This window comes from Homo sapiens, chromosome 4 (assembly GCF_000001405.40).
Source record: "Homo sapiens chromosome 4, GRCh38.p14 Primary Assembly".
NCBI lineage: Eukaryota > Metazoa > Chordata > Mammalia > Primates > Hominidae > Homo > Homo sapiens.
Window position 1 is genome coordinate 139,265,205 of NC_000004.12, and position 23,808 is coordinate 139,289,012.

The 23,808-nt window shown below is 41.6% G+C and overlaps 1 protein-coding gene across 1 annotated transcript, besides 4 other annotated features; it reads right to left on the reverse strand.

Moving 5' to 3' along the window:
* Positions 943-2,142: an enhancer, noted in NCBI's record as "CDK7 strongly-dependent group 2 enhancer chr4:140187301-140188500 (GRCh37/hg19 assembly coordinates)". NCBI's record gives its function as "activates an origin of replication core promoter dependent on BRD2, BRD4, P300/CBP, MED14 and CDK7 cofactors, with strong dependence on CDK7, by STARR-seq in HCT116 cells {active_cell/tissue: HCT116}" and the evidence as "EXISTENCE:reporter gene assay evidence [ECO:0000049][PMID:35650434]".
* On the reverse strand, positions 961-15,021 carry MGARP (mitochondria localized glutamic acid rich protein). The gene is made up of 4 exons (NM_032623.4): positions 14,873-15,021; positions 10,085-10,188; positions 3,468-3,561; positions 961-1,837 (listed from the first exon to the last, which is right to left on the reverse strand). The coding sequence occupies exons 1-4, from the start codon at positions 14,952-14,954 to the stop codon at positions 1,395-1,397; spliced, it is 723 nt and encodes a 240-aa protein (NP_116012.2). The 5' UTR covers positions 14,955-15,021; the 3' UTR covers positions 961-1,394.
* Positions 1,481-1,810: an enhancer, noted in NCBI's record as "active region_21920". NCBI's record gives its function as "activates an Ori minimal core promoter by ATAC-STARR-seq in GM12878 lymphoblastoid cells {active_cell/tissue: GM12878}" and the evidence as "EXISTENCE:reporter gene assay evidence [ECO:0000049][PMID:35858748]".
* Positions 1,951-2,050: a silencer, noted in NCBI's record as "silent region_15699". NCBI's record gives its function as "represses an Ori minimal core promoter by ATAC-STARR-seq in GM12878 lymphoblastoid cells {active_cell/tissue: GM12878}" and the evidence as "EXISTENCE:reporter gene assay evidence [ECO:0000049][PMID:35858748]".
* Positions 14,776-14,985: an enhancer, noted in NCBI's record as "active region_21921". NCBI's record gives its function as "activates an Ori minimal core promoter by ATAC-STARR-seq in GM12878 lymphoblastoid cells {active_cell/tissue: GM12878}" and the evidence as "EXISTENCE:reporter gene assay evidence [ECO:0000049][PMID:35858748]".

Consider the following 23,808-nt stretch of genomic DNA (forward strand, 5'->3'; position numbering starts at 1 on the left):
GCAGAGTTGGTGCCATCTTTTGTAATACTATGGCAGTCAGTCATTGGTTGTGAACTGCCTATGGTGAGGGTGGGGTGTGGGGTGTAACACTCATAGCAGCTGGGGATAAATGTACCCAGTTAAGGGGTCCAATTAAGGGGATCTAGGCAGAGCATCGGCAGTGTCCACTACAATTTCCCAACTTACTCCATAGCCAAAACCTTACATGACCCTGCATGATCTAGCCCACCCTGCCTACCCACTCCCTTTCTCTCTGAGACCATCTCTGGCTACTCTCCCTCTTTTTCACTCCACTTTAGCCACACTGGCCACCTCGCAATTCCTCAAATTCCCAGCAGGATCCTGTTTTAGATCCTTTGCCCTTTTCTGTTCCCTTACCTGGCTGATTCCCCTAACTCCTACCATTAGATGGTCCCTTATATATCTTTCAGGTTTCTACGCAAAAGACACCTTCCTAGTAAGGCCTCTTTTGGCCATCCTATCTAAAATTACAACTTCCACCTCAGACTAACACTTACAATCCTTTTATTTTCGTTACTTTTATCCTTAGCACTTATCAGTACCTAACACACTATATCATTTTCTCATTTGTCTTCTTACCTGGTTCCACTCTAGAATATAAACCGGGAGCACTTAAAACAATACCTATTATGTTGTAAGTGCTCAGCTAATATTTGTTGAACACGTGAATGAATGAAAGATTCCTGGCACAAAGTGCTAATCTTCAATAAATATTGTTTGAACTGAACTGAAACAGAAAATATCTACATAGTCCCCTGTGTAAGTACTATAGATGGGAGAGGGCATACATATTGTTACATGCAGGGTTCTCCATAGATTATATGCTCTTTCTTCAATAATATTACGAAAGCCTACATTTCTCATGTGATGTTATGTACCTGTATGTTAATATGTATTATTTGTACATGCAAATATTAGTGAAAAAAGTAGAAGCACCAAAGCTTTTCTAATTTTATTTGACTCAAACTATATTTTAGACCTACATATCATACAATAAAGTAAGCTGAAAGCATAGTGAAATTAAAGTAAATACAGGTTGTATGGATAGCTCAATTTCTTTAATATAAAATGTAAATTCAGAGATGACTGGGATAAAAGAAAAGTGTCTAGAAAAAAAAACCAAAGATGAAACTATTTAAGCTCTTTACTGCAATGTCATATTCTGATCTCAGACAGTAGAAGAGTAGTAAGAAATGTACAATCTCAAGTCTCTCAGTCCTAAAATCTATCAGTGGATGCCAAAAATCTTCAAGACCCATTAACGTTTTCTAGAAAATAAGTCTTTTTTTTTTTAAACTAAGTGTACTAAAAACACAAAAGCACTTATCAGACACCCTATGGCATTTGTTGCTGAAATGTCTACCGGCTGGAGATTAGCCTTGAGCCGAAGCAGCCTCAGAGCCAACACTGGCTTCCTCCTGTAAATCATCTCCAGCAGAGGACTCTGACTCAGCTGGAGAATTTTCTTCTTCTAGTTCAGCATATTCATCAGAGGTTTCGTTCTTTGTTGTATCTTTATCATTATCGATGGTGACAGCTTCATCCAGGGCAGCATTTGTAACCTCTGGGGTTGTTTCAGGGTTTACTTCCGTGGTTTCCCTCGCCGCTGCATCTGTGACCTCTGGCCCGGTTTCAGCACTGACTGCTGTGGTCTCCGGAGCAGCCTCCACGTGACCTGGACAGGCAGATGCCTCTTTTATGACCACAACTGTAGCACTGGGACTTTCTTCAGCATCTACCACCTCAGCTTCCACTATAAGTTCTTCTGGGGCTTCTGAACTTGCTTTCTCAGTTTCCGCAACATTCTCCTTTTCACCTTTAAGAATTAGTCATTAAGCAAGGTATTAATTTAAAGATCGTGGGAAGGCAATGAAACACTGCGGTCGTTTAAACACCTAAGACAGAACTACATGCACTGATGTGTAACAGTCTTCAAGGTAGACTCTCAAGTGAAACAGCAAAAAAAGAACAATGTATACAGTCTGCTACTATTGTTAGGGCAAAATGAGGTTGGAGCAGGAGGGGGGTAAGTTGTATGCCTAGATAATTGTATTTGCAAAAACTCTCCAGGAGGATTCCAAGAAACTGGTTCTATTGGTTGCCTCTTGGAGGGAAAATGGGGGATCTGCTTTTCTGTAAACTCTTTGAACTTAAAAAAAAACACACTTGAATATATTACTTAGGCAAATATGAAGAATACAAAAATAAGTAGCTATCCTATTCACCTTTCATATGAGACAGCATGGAAGAGTAGCCAAGTTCCTAGCTGGTGACTCAGAAATCACTAATCCTCTCTCAATCTCATTTTTGTCATCTGTAAAATAGGGTATTGATAATATCTACTGCACAGGGTTATTGTAAAGATTAATTAAAATACTGTATATGAAAAGGGGATTAAAATAAAAAGTTCTATGCAAATGCTTATTAGTATTATAAACAACCGCATGATTATATTCAATAATATGTATTGATGATATTCTGTTTCTTATTATTGTCATGACAGGTTAAAACTGATTCATAAGCCCCTAATATCTCTATCCCTAAATAGTGATCATAGTAATTGATAATAATAGCTTGGAAAAAAGTATGGTTTAAAGCAAGAAGTGGCTAGGCATAGTGGCATATGCCTGTAATCCCAGCACTTTGGGAGGCTGAGGCAGGAGGGATCACATGAGGCCAGGAGATCAAGACCAGCCTGGGCAACATAGTGAGACCCTGTCTCTGCAAAACATAAAAAATAAATTTGCTGGGTGTAGCGGTGCATGCTTGTAGTCCTAGTTGCTTGAGAGGCTGTGATGGGAAGATTGCTGGAGCCCAGGAGTTCAAGGCTGCAGTAGGCTATGATTGCACCACTGCACTCCAGCCTGGTTGACAGAGGGAGAGCCCGTGGAGGGAAGGGGGAAAGGAAGGGGGAAGGAAGGGAGGGTGGGAAAAAGAAGTGTAGGAAGGAAGGAAAGAGTGAAAATATAAAGTTTCTGTTCCCATGGTCACCATTTTATCAACTGAAGGACTCATTATACACAACTGATTCTATTATGTCAAATGTACCTTGTTTGCACAAAGGCACACAGGTGGTCTTAGCCAAAACTGAAAGATAATTTGTTATATTATTATTTTTAGATAATGAGAAAAATGAAAGCTCATGCCTGCATGGGTGGATGCCTGAGCAGGGGAAAATAATATTACCACACAAAGGAGTCAAAAGTCACTGGTCAGCAATATAAATGTAAAACATTCATTTGTCAAATGCATTCATCCAAAAGGTGTAACAGTGTTCTTCAGGTTTCAGTTGAACTTTTCCTTTCTAAATGAACTTATACCTAGAGTCATTCTGGATTAAGCTAGGAAAGAAGCCAAAAGCAAATAGTGTTCATTGCTAGACTAAGTGGATGGAAATTAGTGCCTCAAAAAATAAATAAAAATAAAAAATTAAGAAATTCATTTACCTTGAAATGGATGTATCTCTGCTTTTGTTTTTTCTTTCAAATTTGTTTTATGTTCTGTGTGTTTGGCTTGGTCTGATGTGACTGTCTTGTAAGCCTGAAAGTAAATGTATGCTTAGGTTTATTTCTTGAGCTTTAAGATTTGTCACGCCACATCCAAAGGTACACTCAAGTCTCCCTGTAATCACCATTAGAAGTTTAAACCATAATCCCAGTGTAGCAAAGAAGAGAAATCAGTGCACACCACTTACTCTTTTACTTCCCTTTTGGAAATCTTTGTTATTAAATAGAATGCTTTAAAAAGGAAGAAAGGTGAGACAGGGGATGAGGAGAGAAAAACTACCTATTGGGTACCATACTTATTACCTGGGTGACAAATCAATCTATACATCAAACCCCCATGACACATAATTTACCTATTAACAAACCTGCACATGTACACCTTAACCTAAAATAAAACTTTTTAAAAAGGGAAGGAAATAGATGCACTATCTTAGCCAAAGATAACTAAAAACAAGGAAGAAAAAAATGAATTATGCTACAACCAGAATATCCTGACAGGCATATACAAATATTTTCTAGCATTTATCCTTGAGAAATGGAAATCTAGGTTCACATGAAAACCTGTACACAAATGTTCATGGTACCTTTATTTGTAATAGTCAAAAACTGGAATCAGGCCGGGTGCGGTGGCTCATGCCTGTAATCCCAGCACTTTGGGAGGCTGAGGTGGGTGGATCACCTGAAGTCAGGAGTTCGAGACCAGTCTGGCCAACATGGTGAAACCCCATCTCTACTAAAAATACAAAAACAGCCAGGCATGGTGGTGGTGCTCGCCTGTAGCCCTAGCTACTCAGAAGGCTGAGGTGGGAGAATTGCTTGAACCCAGGAGGTGGAGGTTGCAGTGAGCCGAGATCATGCCATTGCACTCCACCCTGGGCGACAGAGCAAGACTCCATCTCAAAAAAAAAAAAAAAAAGAAAAAAGAAAGAAAGAAACAGTATTGGGAAGAAAGCTATTTTAATCACAGACAAAATGTGCAGGCTTCCTTTCATTTTATATTTAAGTAGTCTTCTTTGGCCTGTATTCATATTAGAAAATGATATAAAAAATGAAAATCTCATTATTCAGTTACTATTGTTTGTATTAATTTAGCTTTTAAGAAAATGTTGGTAGTGGTTTAACTTTTAATGGTAAGATGATAGATTTCTAAAATTTATTTATATATAGTGTCTTCTAAATTTTTAACCATCAGAAACCAAGTACCTTATTTAAAAATTGTACTACTTAATTACAAACAATTTTACAGTGTAAAAATTATGCTGTGAAAATAGAATGTCTGTAATGTCGGGGCCGGGTGCAATGGTCCACACCTGTAATCCCAGCACTTTGGGAGGCTGAGGCCAGCGGATCACCTGAGGTCGGGAGTTTGAGACCAGCCTGACCAACATGAGAAATCTGGTCTCTACTAAAAATACAAAATTAGCCGGGCGTGGTGGCGCATGCCTGTAATCCCAGCTACTCGGGAGGCTGAGGCAGGAGAATCACTTGAACCCTGTAGGCAGAGGTTGCAGTGAGCCGAGATCGCACCATTGCATTCCAGCCTGGGAAAGGAGGGAAACTCCGTCTCAAAAAAAAAAAAAAAAGAAAGAAAGAAAAGAAAAGAAAATCTGGGTCAAGCCTGTAATCGCAGCACTTTGGGAGGCCGAGGCAGGCGGATCATGAGGTCAGGAGATGGAGACCATCCTGGCTAACATGGTGAAACCCCATCTCTACAAAAAGTACAAAAAATTAGCCAGGAGTGGTGGCGGGCGCCTGTAGTCCCAACTACTCGGGAGGCTGAGGCAGGAGAATGGCGTGAACCCAGGAGGTGGAGCTTGCAGTGAGCAGAGATCGTACCACTGCACTCCAGCCTGGGCGACAGAGCGAGACCGCGTCTGAAAAAAAAAAAAAAAAAAAGAAAAGAAAATCTATAATGTCGGGTAGAAGTGATGTAAAGTGACCCTTTTATAGCAAACTTCCCGGGGTTTAGTGAACTCAGACTTGAATCATTTGGCTTTGAAACATACAGAGCAAATATGATCAACGGGAATGATAATCAACATTTTCTGTATAAAAGCAAGGAATATTTTCCGAGTAGGGTGTGTGTTCCTGACACCTTGTAGGACCAATATGATAAGTCAGTATCCCCAGTTCTCAGTACACAAACCGAACCAGTACACAAGTTCACATCCCTGAAAGGATCATTCCAGGAACAACATTCCAAGGGACATTAGTCTCATTGCTCAAGGGGCTAAAACACAAGGCAAGAAAAAAGACTAACTTTAGGGAGAATTGAAGAGATACAATACTAGAATAATTCACCCTAATGTGTGGCCCAAAGAATCTAGGTTTTCCAAATCCAGCACAGTCGAGCACAGAGTAGAATAAAGGCCTATTAAAAGAGAGGGTCTCAAATTTAGACTTTGGCAGTTATTTACAAATGATATTAAGTATTTATTAAGTATAAGCATTTAAAATATACTACAATTTTTATAAGCCAGTCTGGTACTACTTTTTAAGATATACCAGACCAGGCCGGGCATGGTGGCTCACATCTGTAATCTCAGCACTTTGGGAGGCCGAGGCGGGTGGATCACCTGAGGTCAGGAGTTCGAGACCAGCCTGGCCAACATGGTGAAACCTCATCTCTACTAAAAATACAAAAATTAGCCAGGCGTGGTGGCAGGCGCCTGTAATCCCAGCTGCTCAGGGGGCCGAGGCAGGAGAATCGCTTGAACCCGGGAGGCGGAGGTTGCAGTGAGATGAGATTGCGCCATCGCACTCCAGCCTGGGGGACAAGAGATACCCAGACCCTCAAAAAAACTGGAGTGATCTGGGCCTCTTTCAGATTCCAATGACCCCTAATAGTCGAGGATTTTGATTGCAAATGGAAAACTGCTTTTGGCTACTAAGCATCTGTGGGGTCAATTCATAAAAATCTAATATAGAGATTATTTTAGTACAGGACATGAAATGGAAGGGGAGAACAAGTATACAGGTTTTGGAGTGCCTTACATTCAGCATTTCCTCCTGAAAGTAGCCTAAGATTCCTGGCAATTAAGGCTTCCAACATTTGAGATTAAAATCACATAAACTTAGAAATGGAAGGGAACAACTTCCATCCCTACTGTGAGAGAACAAGGCCAGAAAGGGTTCTCAGGGATGGCTGGTTTATAAATGTATAACCTTTTAGTTTAAGATTCCTTTTGCAACCAGTGAGTTAGCAGTCTGGCAAAGTTTGTTTTTGGCACTGGTACATATTAATATAATCAGGGGTATAGTGATGTCCAAATGAAATTCATCCTTCTAGCTTCCCAGCCTATCACATGGCCTAGTCTCAATCTCTGTTTTTTTTTTTTGGTGGCCTACACCTCAACTAGAGTGGGTTTGAGCCATGAATTCAACATTAAACAGTAGAAAGATGACAGAACAAAGGAATCTGGGCACAAGTGAAAGCTGGCAGATTAGTAGAGGACAACAATATAAGTGACAAGTTTGCAGTTTCCTGACTCCTTGAGGCTCTCAAAATTCTGAAGATTATGACTAGCCTTAAAAAAATTTCTAGGCCGGGCTTGGTGGCTTATGCCTGTAATCCCAGCACTTTGGGAGGCCGAGGCAGGAAGATCACGAGGTCAGGAGATCAAGACCATACTGGCTAACACAGTGAAACCCCGTCTCTACTAAAAATACAAAAAAAAATTAGCTGGGCGTGGTAGTGGGCACCTGTAGTCCCAGCTACTCAGGAGGCTGAGGCAGGAGAATGGCGTGAACCCGGGAGGTGGAGCTTGCAGTGAGCCGAGATTGCATCACTGCACTCCAGCCTGGACGAGAGCGAGACTCTGTCCCCTCCCAAAAAAAAAAAAAAAAAAATTCTGAGGATTAGAATATGTATTTTGGTTTGGTTTGGTTTGGCCATCTTACATAGTCCTATGAAACTGCTTCTAGTTATGACTAAACATCTCTTTATTCATATTTCTTTTTTTTTTTTTTTTTTTGAGACGGAGTCTCACTCTGTCACCCAGGCTGAGTGCAGTGGTGCAATCTTGGCTCACTGCAACCTCCGCCTCCCCGGTTCAAGCAATTCTCTGCCTCAGCCTCCAGAGTAGCTGGGATTACAGGTGCCCGCCACCACGCCCGGCTAATTTTTGTATTTTTAGTAGAAATGGGGTTTCACCATTTCTTGACCAGGCTGGTCTTGAACTCCTGAACTCGTGATCCACCCACCTTGGCCTCCCAAAGTACTGGGTTTACAGGTGTGAGCCACCGGCCCGGCTTTATTCATATTTCCGTAGGTCCAAACCAAAATATAGTGACTGTGTACTCTTAGAGTTTACAAAGAATTTCTGCTTATTCTACTTTTATTCTTTACATTTTTTGTAGAGATGGGGTCCCGCTATGTTGGCCAGGCAGGTCTCAAACTCCTGCAAGCAATTCTCCTGCCTTGGCCTCCAACGTGCTGGGATTATAGGCGTAAGCCACCACTACAGGCTCTACTTTTATTCTTTTTTATTTATTATTATTTTTTTTGAGACAGGGTCTTGTTCTGTTGACCAGGCTTGAGTGCAGTGGTGCAATCTCAGCTCACTGCAGCCTTAACTTCCCAGGCTCAAGCGATCCTCCCATCAAAGCCTCCCAAGTACCTAGGACCACAGGCACACACCACCACGCTGGGCTAATTTTTTTATTTTTTATTGTAGAAATGAGGTCTCACTGTGTTCCCCAGACTGGTCTCAAACTCCCGGACTCAAGCCTCCCAAAGTGCTGGGATTACAGGCATGAGCCACCGCATTACTTTTATTCTTTTTTTTTTTTTTTTTTTTTTGAGACAGAGTCTGGCTCTCTCACCCAGCCTGGAGTGCAGTGGCACAATCTCAGCTCACTGCGACCTCCACCTCCTGGGTTCAAGTGATTCTCCTGCCTCAGCCTCCTGAGTAGCTATGATTACAGGCACCTGCCACCATGCCTGGCTCATTTTTGTATTTTAGCACAGATGAGGCTTCACCATGTTGGCCAGGCTGGTCTTGAACTCCTGACCTCAGGTGATCTGCCCACCTTGACCTCCCAAAGTGCTGAGATTACAGGCGTGAGCCACCATGACTGGCCTACTTTTATTCTTAATAAAGATTATATTTTGATTTAGAAAGTTTATGACAAAATGGTGAATGACTCAAGTCTTAACTTACTTAACTAAAAAATGTCTGTCATTTTAGTCCCAAAATCTCACTATTAAAACCTTTGTCTTACAGGGTTTACCTGGAGGGAATGGACATGGGGACTGGGAAGGAAAATATGCTTTTCACTTTATATATGTCTATGTTGCATTTTTTAGAAACTTATGAACAAATATGAATTTTTCAAATAATAAAACTGTGTGAAAATTTAAAACTAACAAAAATTATGGAGACAGTAAAAAGATTGGGAGGAGAGAGGGAGAAATGAGTAGGTGGAGTAGAGGGATTTTTAGGGTGATGAAACGACTCTGTATGATACTATAATTTATTCTGGATGATATTGTAATATATTTGTAAAAACAGAACATACAACGCAAAGAGTGGATCCTAATGTAAACCCTGGACTTTAGTTAATAATAATATATCAATATTGGCTTGTCAGTTTTAACAAATGTTCCACATCAGTGCAAGATTTTAATAGGGGAAAGGAGGAGGGGGTGTGAGGGGTTATATGGAAGTTTCTGTACTTTCTGCTCATTATTTTGTAAACCTAAAACTGCTCTAAAAAAAGATCTATTAATTTTTTTAATAGTTATATTAATTTTTTTAAATTTTTTTTGGAAACAGAGTCTCACTCTGTTGCCCACACTGGAGTGCCATGATGTGATCTTGGCTCACTGCAACCTCAGCCTCCTAGGTTCAAGAGATTCTCTTGCTTCAGCCTCCCAAGTAGCTGGGATTACAGGCACACACCACCATGCTGGCTAATTTCTGCATTTTTAGTAGAGATGGGGTTTCCTCATGTTGGCCAGGCAGGCCTCGAACTCCTGACCTTAGGTGATCCACCTGCCTCAGCCTCCCAAAGTGCTGGGATTACAGGCGTGAGCCACTGCACCCAGCTCCTATATTAATTTTTAAGTTAATCTTTCAAAATAATTCTTTTAAAATGTTAATAATAGTGCCTACCTTGTAGACTTGTTGTAATTATTAAATGATCCAGGAGTCTGGCATATGATAAACACTCAAGTATCAGCTATCACTATTAGCATTTATAATAAAATTATTTTTACTGAAAATCATCCATATTAATGGTATTAAGAAATGCTGACTTTACAAATACAAAAATCTTCATAATTTAGAAAGCTGAGGTTCGAATGAAATAAAACTTAAAAATAAACTAAAAAAGAAAAACCTTCATAATAGTCTAGCTAATATATTCTTATGAAAACCCTGTATTTCTAATGATTGCCACCTATTTTTCAGATGTGTATGCTTAATGACACTTAAATCTATTGCTATGTTGTATATTTAATTAATCTCATGTCCTGATCTTGACGTTGCTTTGAGCTTTACCATGAGTTGTAAAATACATGAATTCTTGAGCACTGTGGTTATATAATCACTTACATAATATCCACCAGCACTGACTGTGACGCCTACAACCAGATAATAAATCATATTTGATCCAGATGATCCAGGGAATCTGTTAGATGACATCCGGCGCAGAGATGCTAGGAAAAAAATGTTTAAACACAGTTAGCTTCACTAGTTGAGCAAAACTATTTTAAATAATTACATCTTTCAAAATTTTTCTACTCAGTGAACCTAGAATCTATTAACATCAAGTGATTTTAGCTTAAGGGAATACAGTATTACGAGGCTGGGTAATAATTCCACTTGACAGTCTCCCAATCTAATTTGATAAACACTCATGAAACCTGTCATCTTGATGCTGAGCATCATGCCTTCTTGGAAGGGGTGCAGGTGTGGGTAAGGAGAAATGACAAAAGCACTAAAAAATTTTAACAGCCAAATGAAGTGCACATTAGCAAGAGAAAGCCATGTACTATATGTACTCCACTACAGGATTCAGTGAAAATATTATTTTTTAAAAAATGAATTCAGTATGTTTATACCTAAAATGTAATACAATTTGTATTTATATGTTAAATCAAGCATTTATGTTGAAATCCATCATATTTCTATAAATCTATAATACACATGTAGGTATAGAAAGAAATCTCAATTTTTCTCTTATAAAGCAAATATGGGCAGATAAAACGTTTTTAAGCCAAATGTTGCAGAAAGGTTGTATCTGAAATAGAAGTACAATTCTGTATAAACTAATAGAAACAGATAAAGGTACTATATTATTATATTTAAACATTTATTTTGTAGTACTAACATTTGCATATCCTATAATGCCCTGGAATTGAAATTTTTACAATAAACTTAAAGTCGGAAGGAGCTTAAAGTATATACAACTCAAATTCTTTATTTTAAAAATAAAGACATAAACACATTTATGTATTCTTTCAACTAACACAGCTGAGCATCTACTACGTATTTGGAATTGTTAGAAGCATTAAGAATATAACCGTGAACAAGACAGATAAGGTCCCTAGTCTCAAGCCATTCACAGTCTAGAAGGAGGGTATGAACATACAAATAATTGTGATACAGTATGACAAATGTAATAAGTGTTAAGCCAAGCTACAGGCAGAGTAAAACTCAACTAGCTGGCCAAGGTAGTTGTCATAATAGAAGAGACCTGAGTTTTGAAGGAAAATAAGGGAAAGAGGAATGGCACTGGAGGCAGAAGGTGTAACGTATAAAAGCATGAGAGATTCGTGACCCAGAAGGTACAAAGTACAGGATGAATATCCCTTATCTAAAATGCTAGCAGTGGGTGCAGTAGCTTATGCCTGTAATCCCAACATTTTGGGAGGCAGAGGTGGGAGGATCACTTGAGCCCAGGATTTCAAGACCAGCCTGGGCAATGTGGTGAACCCCATCTCTACAAAAAAATTTTATAATATTAGCTGAGAGTGGTGGTATGTGCCTGTAGTCCCAGCTACTTTGGGAGGCTGAGGCAGGAGGATCACTTGAGTCCTGCAGTGAGCTGTGATTGTACCACTGCTCTCCAGCCTGGGCAACAGAGAAAGGTTCTGTTCCAAAAAAATAATTAAAATAAAATAAAATGCTTGGGACCAGAAGTGTTTTGGGTTTTGGATATTCTTTATTTTGGAATATATGCATACACATAATGAGATATCTTGGGGATGGGACTGAAGTCTAAACAAAAAATTCATTTATGTTTCGTATACACCTTACACACATAGCCTGAAGGTAATTTCATACAATATTTTGAATAATTTTGTGCTTGAAACAAAGTTTGTGTTAAGTACTTACATGTGAAATTTTCTACTTGTGGCATCATGTCAGTGCTCAGAAAGTTTCTAATTTTGGAACATTTTGTGTTTTAGATTTTTGGATTAAGCATGTCCAACCTGCAATTTGATGTGGCCTAACATAAAGTATAGGGGTGCAGGGACTAGTGGAAAGCTATGATTTGCACAGGGCGAATCTTAAGGCATGCTTACAAACCTTCATAGTAGCAAAATCACAACGATTTCCTGTTTATGTTCTTAGTTTGGATATAAATGGCCGTTTCTTGGAAAAAAATTTTTTTCCTTCTAATGTGCCCCAAAGGCTATGAGAAGAGGTTATCGCTTTGACTTGTGGTGGGACTTCTGATGGCTTAAAAGTACATCTGTGATCAAATAGGGAATATATAGCCTTCATATTTCTCAAACAGACAAAAATATCAGAAATATTTTTTAAATAGAACTAAAATTACCAGAGATTTAAGTAGACTTAAATACAAATACAATGATGGACAAGTTACTTAAAAAGACAATGAAATGAGAAATTTTTCAATAAGGATTAATTAGACAAATTTTAGCACATTCATACAATGTGAAACAAATAGACATAACTTTTGCAGAACAATATTTACTTACATGAGAAAATATTTACAATGTATTAGGTGAAAAGTCATAGCAAAATACTCTGGGACTATCCAAGATTTGTGGAAATAATGTGCACAAGGAAGGAATGAGGGGAAAAAAAAGGTCTGGAAAACTAAATATACTAAAACGTAATTAGTTGTGTTCACTGAGTGGTAGGATTACAGGTGAATTCCATTTTTTATTTTACCTGTTTTTCCCCAATTATCTATTATAAATCTAAATTATTTATTCATTAAAAAGTTACCCTTTTAAGGCTGGGCTCGGTGGCTCACACCTGTAATCCCAGCACTTTGGGAGGCCGAGGTAGGTGGATCACCTTAGGTTGGGAGTTCAAGACCAGCCTGACCAACATGGAGAAACCCCATCTCTACTAAAAATGCAAAATTAGCTGGGTGTGGTGGCCCGTGCCTGTAATCCCAGCTACTCCGGAGGCTGAGGCAGGAGAATCACTTGGATCCGGGAGGCGGAGGTTGTGGTGAGCCGAGATCACGCCATTGCACTCCAGCCTGAGCAACAAGAGTGAAACTCTGTCTCAAAAAAATAAAATTACCCTTTTAAAAGCAAAAAGGAGAGAACAAAATGTGATGAGACACAGTTAAAAATTTTTCCTTCAATAAAACTGAAAAAAATTATTTTTCATCAAAGTAGAAAGTATGAACAAAAGGTTAAGTAATGTCCACGACTGAAGACAAATTTGTTTCCAATCAATAATAGTTCTTAAATACATTTTAAGTGCTGCAAAAATAGTTAGATGAAAATCAGAGAAAGACCAGTACCTTTACAAGCAGCATTGCTAGATACGTATTTAAAATTTTTAAACTACTTCTATTTTGCCGCAAATTGGGAAGAAAATTATTTGGAATTTCTGCAGCTACAAAAAAAAGGTGCGCGTGTGTGTGTGTGTGTTTGTGTGTGCGTGCACGCGCGCATGATGTCGGTGGGGAACGCAGACAGATAAAACGAAAGGCCACGGTCAGAGGACTAATCTTTCTCCCCGTTCTCAACAGAACAGTCCCGTTATCTTCCGAAGTTTAAAATAAATGGCTTCTCCCTACTTCATCAGTGTATATATATATTTAAAAGCTCTATATCATTTGGTATAAAGATCTAGAAAAATAAAGGCAATAAAGATCTAGGAAAACGAAGATGTCTTATTTCTGATACTTGAGGGATAACTTCCTTCCACCAGCATTTTACAAGAAAAATAAAGCGAGTTAGTTAGACCTCCGTCCTTCCCTCCCACCACCACCAACAGAGGCCTAATCAACGTGAAAAAAAAATCGGCCCATGGAATTCTCCGCGCACATCTTTCTCTCCTGCTGGAATCCACCCTCTGGGGTAAAATTATCTCGGAAGGCTCAGAAAGTGAGGCTAAGTGAAGAGAGCATTAAGAACCCTTCACGATATTGTCTAAGAGCCGTCCCCCAGTCGTGAGTGGAAGAGAGAGGGGTGACGGATGGGGACTAGGGAAAAGCGGCTGGGGCAGAACCGCCCTGGAGCGCAAGCCTGGTCCCAGAAGAAAAACAATCTTCCTTGCTCACACCTATTAAGCACCTACTATGTTCCCAGCACTATACGAAGCGCTTTCCTATATGTCCGTTTTTATTTAATAAGCCTCCAGTTCACACTGCAACTCCCCCTTTAGTTAATTGCTGAGTATTCTGCTTTTTCTCGCGTATCCTCAGAACCAAAGGTGTCGATATTTGGACTACAGAGCCAAGCAGTTGCAGGACGACGTGCAACCTCAAAGGAAAGTGTCCCGAAGGCCGCTTCCTTTTTGGGGGTTGTGGATCTCAGAGCCAGGCGCTCGCGGGGTTCAGGCTGCTGAGACCCTGCCAAGGGTTAGGTTTATTTACCCCACGAACATTCGCCCAGCGTCCACTGAGCGGGCCCTGCCTCACTGCCTCCCAGCGCTTGCCGGGCCCGCTCGCTGATCGGCGTCCACCTTCCCACCGTTCCTCTGCTTCCTCAGGAGATTGGAGAGCGAATGGTGCCTCTAACAATAAAAGTGGTAAGCTGCGACTTTGTCAGCCAGGCACGTTTTTAAGTGCTTTTAACCATACATTAACTCATTAAAAAGGAAAACCATCATCGCCCTCATTTTATAGATGAGGAAACAGGTTAAGCCATTTGTCCAAGATCAGGATGCGAACCCAGATAATCTGGACTCTGAGGCACCCTGGAAAAGTTCCCTACTTCCAAAGTCTGCAGGAGCTTCGGGACGTCTTCCCGGGAGTCTCCCCCAGTCTCCTCGACCTCCAATCCAGGCTTCTGCTGCTCTGGGTCGGGTTTGGCCAACTGGGTGCCGGCCGGTTCCCTGGCGCGGGCGAAATCTGCACCCGAGGCGCCCGTCCTCCTCTCCGGGCTAGACCTCCTTACTCACCGTCCTTTCCGAGCGGCGCGGGGTTGGGGGGCGCCCTCAGCGGCAGCGCCAGAGTCTTGGAGACCGCCCTGCGGAGATACATCGCGCCCGCTGTCCGCCGCGCAGCAGCCTCGGTACCCAGGCGCAGGCTGCCCTTCCACAGAGAGGCTGAGAGCCTGGCAGCGCCCCGCCCGGAGGAGGCACGTCGACCTTCATCCAGCCCCGCCTCCGCGGCCCCCGGGAGGTGGGGAGACCTTTGTAGTCCTCACCATCCTCCCCTAACCCATCTCCAGCTCTGTTGCTATCCCTGAGGTCTCTAGAGCTGACCGCGGCATCTCAGAAAAGGGATGGGGAACCTACAAGTCGCCGTCGCCTGCCTGGCTCATTCTGTACCACTGAATGTAACTCCTCACAGCAAGCTGGAAATGTTTTGGGAATTGGACGAGATTAAGACAAGGACACAGTTTATCACGCTGGATGTAATCTGAAACCATTTTATCTCCTGCATTCCGTTAGCTTTCCTAGGAGAGGGAAGGATAGCTGGAAGTTTCTTAAAAATGAGAAGAGCGAAGGGGTAGCCTCAGCCTTCCATTAGCGCACTGGGTGATGCTCAGAATCGTAAGAAAATCTGCAGACAATGGTTGAATTTCTAGACAGCTCACTGTTAAAACGACTTTAAAATATCAAAAACACTGTATATTCCTCTATGGGATGTGAAATTAATATTTCCACATCAGCGGCCGGGCACAGTGGCTCACGTTTATAATCCCAGCACTTTGGGAGGCCGAGGCAGGCGGATCACTTGAGGTCAGGAGTTGGAGAGCAGCCTGGGCAACATGGTGAAACCCCGTTTCTACTAAAAATACAAAAAATTAGCCGGGAGTGGTGGCGCGGGCCTGTAATCCCAGCTACTCGGGACGCTAAGGCAGGAGAATCGCTTGAACCCGGGAGGCGGAGGTCGCAGTGAGCCGAGATCATGCCACTACATTCAAGCCTGGGTGACAGAGCAAGACCCTGTCTCAAAAGCAAAACAAAACAAAACAAAAACCCCAAAAACAAAACAAAACAAACAAAACAAAAAAACACATCAACTAAAAATACTAAATTATTAGTTTTCCGTCTCATCGTGGCTACAAGAACTTGTCATGGTTTGAATATGGAAACCAATAATTTATTACGTTTATAACATTGTCTAAATGATTACTCTTTGGAAGACACCATTTCCTACTATAATAATCCCTTATGTGTGTTTGGCACTTGAAAGATTATAAAGCACTTTCACATCTATTATCTCTTTTAATTTTCACTGCAACCCTCTGAGGGAGGTGGCAATTATTCCCTTTAGCAAATGCCACCACCAGGTGGTGGGTGGGAATGTCCAGGGATTTACTGGTGGTCATGAATTAAAAAACAAAAAGGACATGAACATAATACTTCTAGCTTAAAGTTCTATTGGCATGTAACAGGCACAATATTTGTTCATTTGCTATGTAAATAGACGTTTCTCAGAAGTTATAGTCCTGAACCTAATTATAATTATATTTAACATATTCTCATAAGAAGAGTACAAGCCAATGATCAGATTGGTTTTTTGATACTCAGAAAGAGAGTTAACTAGTTTAATCACTAGGGTGACAGAGCGAGACTCAGTCTCAAAAAAAAAAAAAGTTTACAACATAGATGGGTGTGGTGGTACATGCCTGCAGTCCCAGCTACTCCAGAGGCTGAGGTGGGAGAACTGATTGAGCTCAGGAGGTCAAGACTGCAGTGAGCTGAGATCTTGCCACTGCACTCCAGCCTGGGTGACAGAGTGAGACCCTGTCTCAAAAAAAAAAAAAAAAAAAAAAAAAATCACACACAGTGGCTCACAGCACTTTGGGAGGTGGAGGCAGAAGGATTGCTCGTGCTAGGGAGTTCAAGTCCAGCCTGGCAAATATGGCAAAACCTCATCTGTTTCTTTTTCAGAAAGAAAAAAAAAAGGCACATTAGATATGAAATGTAAAAAATAAAGTAAAAAAAATAAAGGATATAAAATGTGCTCAGCTAGTTGGAGGAGGCAGTGCTAGATTCTGACTTCCAGCCTAAGGTGAAGCTCAAGGCTCTCCTGCTACACTCTGCTGCCTTTCAGTGTGGCACATGGCCGGATTCATTATATCCCACCATCTCTTATTAGATGGTACGGTCCAGTGGGAGGTTATCATGCTCTCTAGGTTGAATATGGCCATACCAGCTGGGATATAAAAGAACTGTGAGATAAATAGTTCCATTTCTCCAGATTATTTTCCTTAGTTAAAAGCTCATGCCTTTCAAGTTGAAGGGAATTTCTATCTACTCAGCTGCTCCTGTGGCTTTCCGTTTTGATGGCAAATTCTTTTCAAATCTTGATGAAACATTTTCCAAGAGAGGACATGCCCTCGAGTTGTCAAATTCACTCCAGAGCAGACTGTTTCTTCCAAACCCCAGATAAATTTAACACATCTTTGCTATGGAAGACTCTGTAAGGCTCAGCCAATAGTTTCCTAACTATTAATCATACTGTTCGTAATGCTGCCCTTGAGCACATCCTTGAAATTTTTCTTCGTTTGGTTGGAAAAACAAGAATTTAGGGTCAGAGATAACTCGGCTTACCTTAGATGACCTCCATCTAACTGTGATTATTGACAAGGATTATATTAGTCTTGAAAACATTATTATAAAGGTCCTCTACTGGCAACATTAATTATACTTTCAAGGCTTAACAGCTATATAAATAAAAGAAATTTTCAAAGTCTGAGTGGTTTCCTGGATTTCACAGAAATATCAGCTAAGTTTTTCTGAGCACTCAATTCTTAGGCTATTGCCTATATGTTTTGAGAGATAAATACTGACACACACTTAAACAATTTAGAGGAGCAACTAGGAGGATAAATTGGCAAGCAGTTAAGAAAGTCCTGATAAGCATATTTTTCATGGTTTAAACTACTTAAAGTGAAGGAGAAAAGATAATCAAGATGGTCAATTCTCAACTTTTTTTTTTTTTTTTTTGAGATGGAGTCTTGCTCTGTCGCCCAGGCTGGAGTGCAGTGGTGCGATCTCGGCTCACTGCAACCTCTGCCTCCTGGTTCAAGCGATGTTCCTGCCTCGGCATACCTAGTAACTGGGACTACAGGTGTGTGCCACCACAACTGGCTAATTTTTGTATTTTTAGTAGAGACGGGGTTTCACCACATTGGCCAGATTGGTCTCAAACTCCTGACCTTGTGATCTGCCCACCTCAGCCTCCCAAAGTGCTGGGATTACAGGCGTGAGCCACTGTGCCCAGACTGACTATTCTTGAAAGTCATTCAGTACTATCTCCATCTATTAACTATCTCTTCTGTGACAAAATAAACATCAGATTTCCTAACACTTCTGTATTATTTTCCTAAGGATACAAACTTGGATGTTATTTAAAACAATTTATTCTCTAACAGTTTTCTGGAGGATAGAAGTCTCAAATGAAGATGTTGGCAGGGCCATTTCCTCTCTGAAACCTATAGGGGATGTAAACTAAAAATAAAATCCTGAGCTCCCTGCCAACTGAATAGACCTCCTCTTGGCCAAGGGGACCCCAGAAAAATCTTAAAAACTGAGTTCCTGGCCATGATGGGATGGGAGGTCAGACAACTCTTGTTACACCCGCTCCCTTTTGCACTTTAGATACAATAACTGGCCAGCATAAATGTTAAAATAGAGATCCTAAAACTGACAGAATAGACTTTGTGGCAATAAGATACCAAATTATAAATGGAAGTTTAAGGCCATGCTAGGCAAGGGTTAAGTCACTCACTCCTACACTTAAAGAATAAACTATTTCTAACTGCCACAGGTTTTTCTTTTTCTCTAGCAGCTAAACAAGCACTGGCCTCCAGATAAGGAATATTAAAACAATTGTCGCTCATCACTAGACACTAACTGACCCCGTTCCACAAGCTATAGCTACAGCTTTGATTGGACGAGAGACTGATTTCAGTAACTTTCTCCTGATAAGACCACTGGGCTGGTGTGGTGGCTCATGCCTGTAATCCCAGCACTTTGGGAGGCCAAGGCAGGAGGATCACTTGAGCCCAAGAGTTCAAGCCCAGCCTGGGCAAGATGTTGAGATTCCATCTCTACTAAAAACAAAAAAAGAAAAGAAAATGGCTGGGTGTGGTAGCACCCACCTGTATCACTTGAGCCCAGGAGTTCAAGGATGCAATGACCTGATTGTGCCACTGCACTGCAAGGCCATGTTTCTTTGGGGAGGAAAAAAAAAAAGACCACCTACCAGGAACTGGCTCTGGCCTGTTTACAGATGCTGAACACTTGAGTCCTTCATATCCTAAAAAGATTTTTGACATATAGGGCCTAATTATAATACATTTAAATGTTAAGTCTCCACTCCAAAGCGAACATAAGTTGTATGTTACATGCATGTTTGGTCAATACACATGCATCAGGACTAATATCATTTGGCTCTGTGTTCCCACCCAAATCTCATGTTGAATTGTAATTTCCAATGTTGGGGAAGGGACCTGGTGGGAGGTGATTGGATCATGGGGGTGGGTTCCCCCCTTGCTGTTCTCATGATAGTGAGTTCTCACAAGATCTGGATGTTTGAAAGTGTGTAGAACTTTTCCCTTCGCTCACCCTCTCTCCTGCTGGCCATGTGAAGAAGTGCTTGCTTCCCCTTTGCCTTCCACCATAATTGTTAAGTTTCCTGAGTCGTCTCTGAAGCAGAAGTCTGTATAGCCTTCAAAACCATGAGCAGATTAAACCTCTTTTCTTTATAAATCACCCAGTCACAGGTAGCTCTTTTTTTTTTTTTTAAGACGGAATTTCACTCGTTTCCCAGGCTGAAGTGCAATGGCGTGATCTCAGCTCAATGTAACCCCCGCCTCCCAGGTTCAAGTGATTCTCCTGCCTCAGCCTCCCAAGTACTTGGGATTACAGGCGTGCTTCACCATGTCCGGCTAATTCTGTATTTTTAGTAGAAACAGGGTTTCTCCATGTTGGTCAGGCTGGTCTTGAACTCCCAACCTCAGGTGATCCACCTGCCTCGGCCTCCCAAAGTGCTGGGATTATAGGTGTGAGTCACCATGCCTGACCAACACGTAGCTCTTTATAGCAATGTGAGAACAGGCTAAAACAAGGACCTTTGTGAATATTCATAGCTCCTCCTGTAACCTGTTGAATATGAATGCTTAGCCAACTGTTCAGCATAAAGCTCCTACCCCAATCCCTTCTCCTCCAAAGTGCCTGTCTCTGGGCTCTGCTGGAGGCTATATTTTCCAGTCTGTAGGATGGCCACCTTGTAGGCTGTAACCCTTTACAAGAAATAAAGTTTCCATTTCCAAACTTGTAGATCTTGTGATTTTTAAGTTAATGGAGAATCCTTCTTTGCCTTTTCTAGCTTCTATTGTTTGCTGGCAATCCCTGGCTGTAGATTCAGCCAGTCTCTGCCTCTGTCATCACATGGCCATCTTCTCCTATGTGTCTCTTCTCTTAAATATACTAGTCATACTGGATTAAGGGTTCACTCTACTCCAGTATGTAATGCAAATTACATCTGCAATTACCCTATTTTCAATTAAGTCCACTTTTTGAGGTACTACGAGTTGGGATCTTAACATATCCTTTTTGGGGAAACAATTCAACCCACAACTTCTTATATCAGAAACTTAGATTATACAGCCTGTTTTTCCAAGGCAACTTAATAATTTCAAGTGTGACTACCTAAATCTTGAAGAAAGGTCTACCTGATTTTGATTATTAAACTATTTGACTATACTCGACATATGATTTTGTCTGCATCTTCCTTTATATGGGAACTTTTTTTTTGAGATGGAGTCTTGCTATGTTGCCCAGGCTGGAGTGCAGTGGTATAATCTTGGCTCACTGCAACCTCCGCCTCCTGGGTTCAAGCAATTCTTCTGCCTCAGCCTCCTGAATAGCTGGGATTACAGGTGAGTACCACCACGCCTGGCTAAATTTTTGTATTTTTAGTATAGACCGTGTATTTTTAGTATTCTTAGTATTCATATACAATATTTTTAGTCTTCACCGTGTTAGCCAGGATGGTCTTGATCTTCTGACCTCGTGATCCACCTGTCTCGGCCTCCCAAAGTGCTGGGATTACTGGTGTGAGCCACTGCGCCTGGCCTGGAAACTCTTTCATTACTGAAAGAATCATCCCTTGACCACAGGCAACTCTAAATTCCTTTGGGGAAGAATCAGAATGATTCTTGCTCAGTCCAGCTACTCTCTTGAATTGAGAAGTAACTCAGGAACCATTTGCTGTGGATTTCTCTTTACAATGTGGATTGAGGAAGAGAAGGTCCATGTGCCAAGAAGATAAGGCAGACTCACAGATAGCTGAGTCAAGAGCAAGAATCTTAATGACATTTGGGTCCCAGGCTTCAATTGTTCCTGGGCTCAGGTCCACTCCTATTCTTGGGGTCTGTGAGTCACTCTATCCTCATATATTTTTTTTTTGAGACGTAGTCTCGCTCTGTCGCCCAGGGTGGAGTGCAATGGCTTGATCTCGGCTCACTGCAACCTCCACCTCCCAGGTTCAAGCTATTTTCATGTCTCAGCCTCCCAAATAGCTGGCATTACAGGTGCTGGCCACCACGCCCGGCTTATTTTCGTATTTTTAGTAGAGACGGGGTTTTGTCATGGTGGTCAGGTTGGCCTCAAACTCCTGACCTCAGGTAATCCACCCACTTCAGTTTCCCAAAGTGCTGGGATTACAGGTGTAAGCCACTGCGCCCGGCCTATCTTCACAATTTTTTTAAAAAAATCATAGTTTGAGTTAGGTTTCAATTATTTAATTTAGGAAGCATTTTTACCAGCGCCACTATGTGGCACAATTCTAAATAGTGCTGTTCAGTACAGCAGCCACCAGCCCCATCTAGCTAGTTAAATTAATTAAAGTTAGGCTGGAGCGGTGGTTCAGGTTTGTTCATCCCAGCACTTTCAGAGGCCGTGGCAGGAGGACTGCTTGAGTCCAGGAGTGTGAGAACCAGCCTGGGCAGGATAGTGAGACCTTGTCTCTACAAAACATTTTTTCTTAAATGTATTAACAAATATATATTTAAAATTAATTAAGGCCAGGCACGGTGGTTCACGCCTGTAATCCCAGCACTTTGGGAGGCTGAGGCAGGCAGATCACCTGAGGTCAGGAGTTTGAGACTAGCCTGGCCAACGTGGTGGAACCCCCTCTCTATTACAAATGCAAAAATTAGCTGGGCATGGTGGTGGGTGCCTGTAATCCTAGCTACTCGGGAGGCTGAGGTAGAATTCCTTGAACCCAGGAGATGGAGGTTGCAGTGAGCTGAGATCACGCCACTGCACTCTAGCCTGGGTGACAGAGCAAGACTCTGTCTCCAGGAAAAAAAAATTAATTAAAATTAAATAATACTAAACAGTTAGTCACACTAATCACATTCCAAATGCTTATTAGCCACAAGAGGCTAGTGGCTACTGTACTAGACAGCACAGACAGAACATTCCCATCGTTGGAAAGTTCTTTTGGACAGCCCTGGTCCTCCATGAATGGCTCCCTGGAGTTAAAGGGGCATAATCAAGAGGAAGGTCCATCATCAGTTGTGCGAAGACAAGGAAAAGAGAAAAAAAAAAGGCCGGGCACGGTGGCTAACGCCTGTAATCCCAGCACTTTGGGAGGCCGAGGTGGGTGGATCATGAGGTCAGGAAATTGTGACCATCCTGGCTAACACGGTGAAACCCCGTCTCTACTAAAAATACAAAAAATTAGCCGGGCGTGGTGGCAGGTGCCTGTAGTCCCAGCTACTCGGGAGGCTGAGGCAGGAGAATGGCGTGAACCTGGGAGGCAGAGGTTGCAGTGAACCGAGACTGCGCCACTGCACTCCGGCCTGGGCGACAGAACGAGACACTGTCTCAAAAAAAAAAAAGAAAAAAAATTAGAGGAAGGTCCACACAACACAAAGTAGCTATATTCTCAAAGCCCAATGTACACTAAGTTCTGTTTATTAAAGGTGTACTTTATTTCCACCTACTGAGGCTGTAAGTTTCCAAAATTTCAAGTGTCTTAGTTTTCTGTTCCCTTTAGAGATGTGAATTTTTAAGTGTTTTAGTGAAAAGTGCCCTGAATTGGTAGTTGATACTTGAACTCTTACTCTGTTACTATGTGACAAATCATATTAGCTTCATATTGTTGCTATAACAAACCTATCTATTGTAACAACACAAATGTATTATCTTAACAGTTTTGTAGGTGAGAAATCTGACAAAGGTGGGCTAAAATCAAGCAGGGCTGTGTTCCACTTTGCAGGCTCTAGGGGGGGATTCGTTTTCTTGATGTACTTTGGCTGTTAGCTTCATCTTCAAAGAAGCAATGGCAAAGAAGACTCTTTGTCACTCACATCACATCACTCTGACACATTTTTGTGCCTCCCTCTCCCACTTATAGGGACCTTGTGATTACATTGGGCCCAACTACATAATTCGAGATAAATGTTTAAATTACAAATTAATGAAGTGGCAACTGAAACAAGTTTTAAGTGATTCACAAGAAAGGGCTTTGCCGGAATGGTGGCTCACACCTATAACCCCAGAACTCTGGGAGGCAGAGGCAGGCAGATTGCTTGAGCCCAGGAGTTTGAGACCAGCCTGGGCATCATAGCAAGACCCCACATGTACAAAAACTTTAAAAAATTGCCAGGCACAGCAGCTCACTCCTGTAATCCCCGCACTTTGGGAGGCTGAGGCGGGCAGATCACGAGGTCAGGAGTTCGAGACCAGCCTGACCAACACGGTAAAACCTCGTCTCTACTAAAAATAAAAAAAATTAGACGGGTGTGGTGGCACACACCTGTAATCCCAGCTACTCATGAGGTCAGGAGATTGAGACCATGGTGAAACCCCGTCTCTACTAAAAATACAAAAAATTAGCAGGGCGTGGTGGTGGGCGCCTGTAG

Coding starts and splice junctions, on each gene's coding strand:
- MGARP (NM_032623.4), bottom strand. CDS start 14,954: ATGTATCTCCGCAGGGCGGTCTCCAAGACTCTGGCGCTGCCGCTGAGG. Junction 10,189..14,872: donor CGCGCCGCTCGGAAAGGACG/GTGAGTAAGGAG, acceptor TTTTTTTCCTAG/CATCTCTGCGCCGGATGTCA. Junction 3,562..10,084: donor TCAGTGCTGGTGGATATTAT/GTAAGTGATTAT, acceptor ATTTACTTTCAG/GCTTACAAGACAGTCACATC.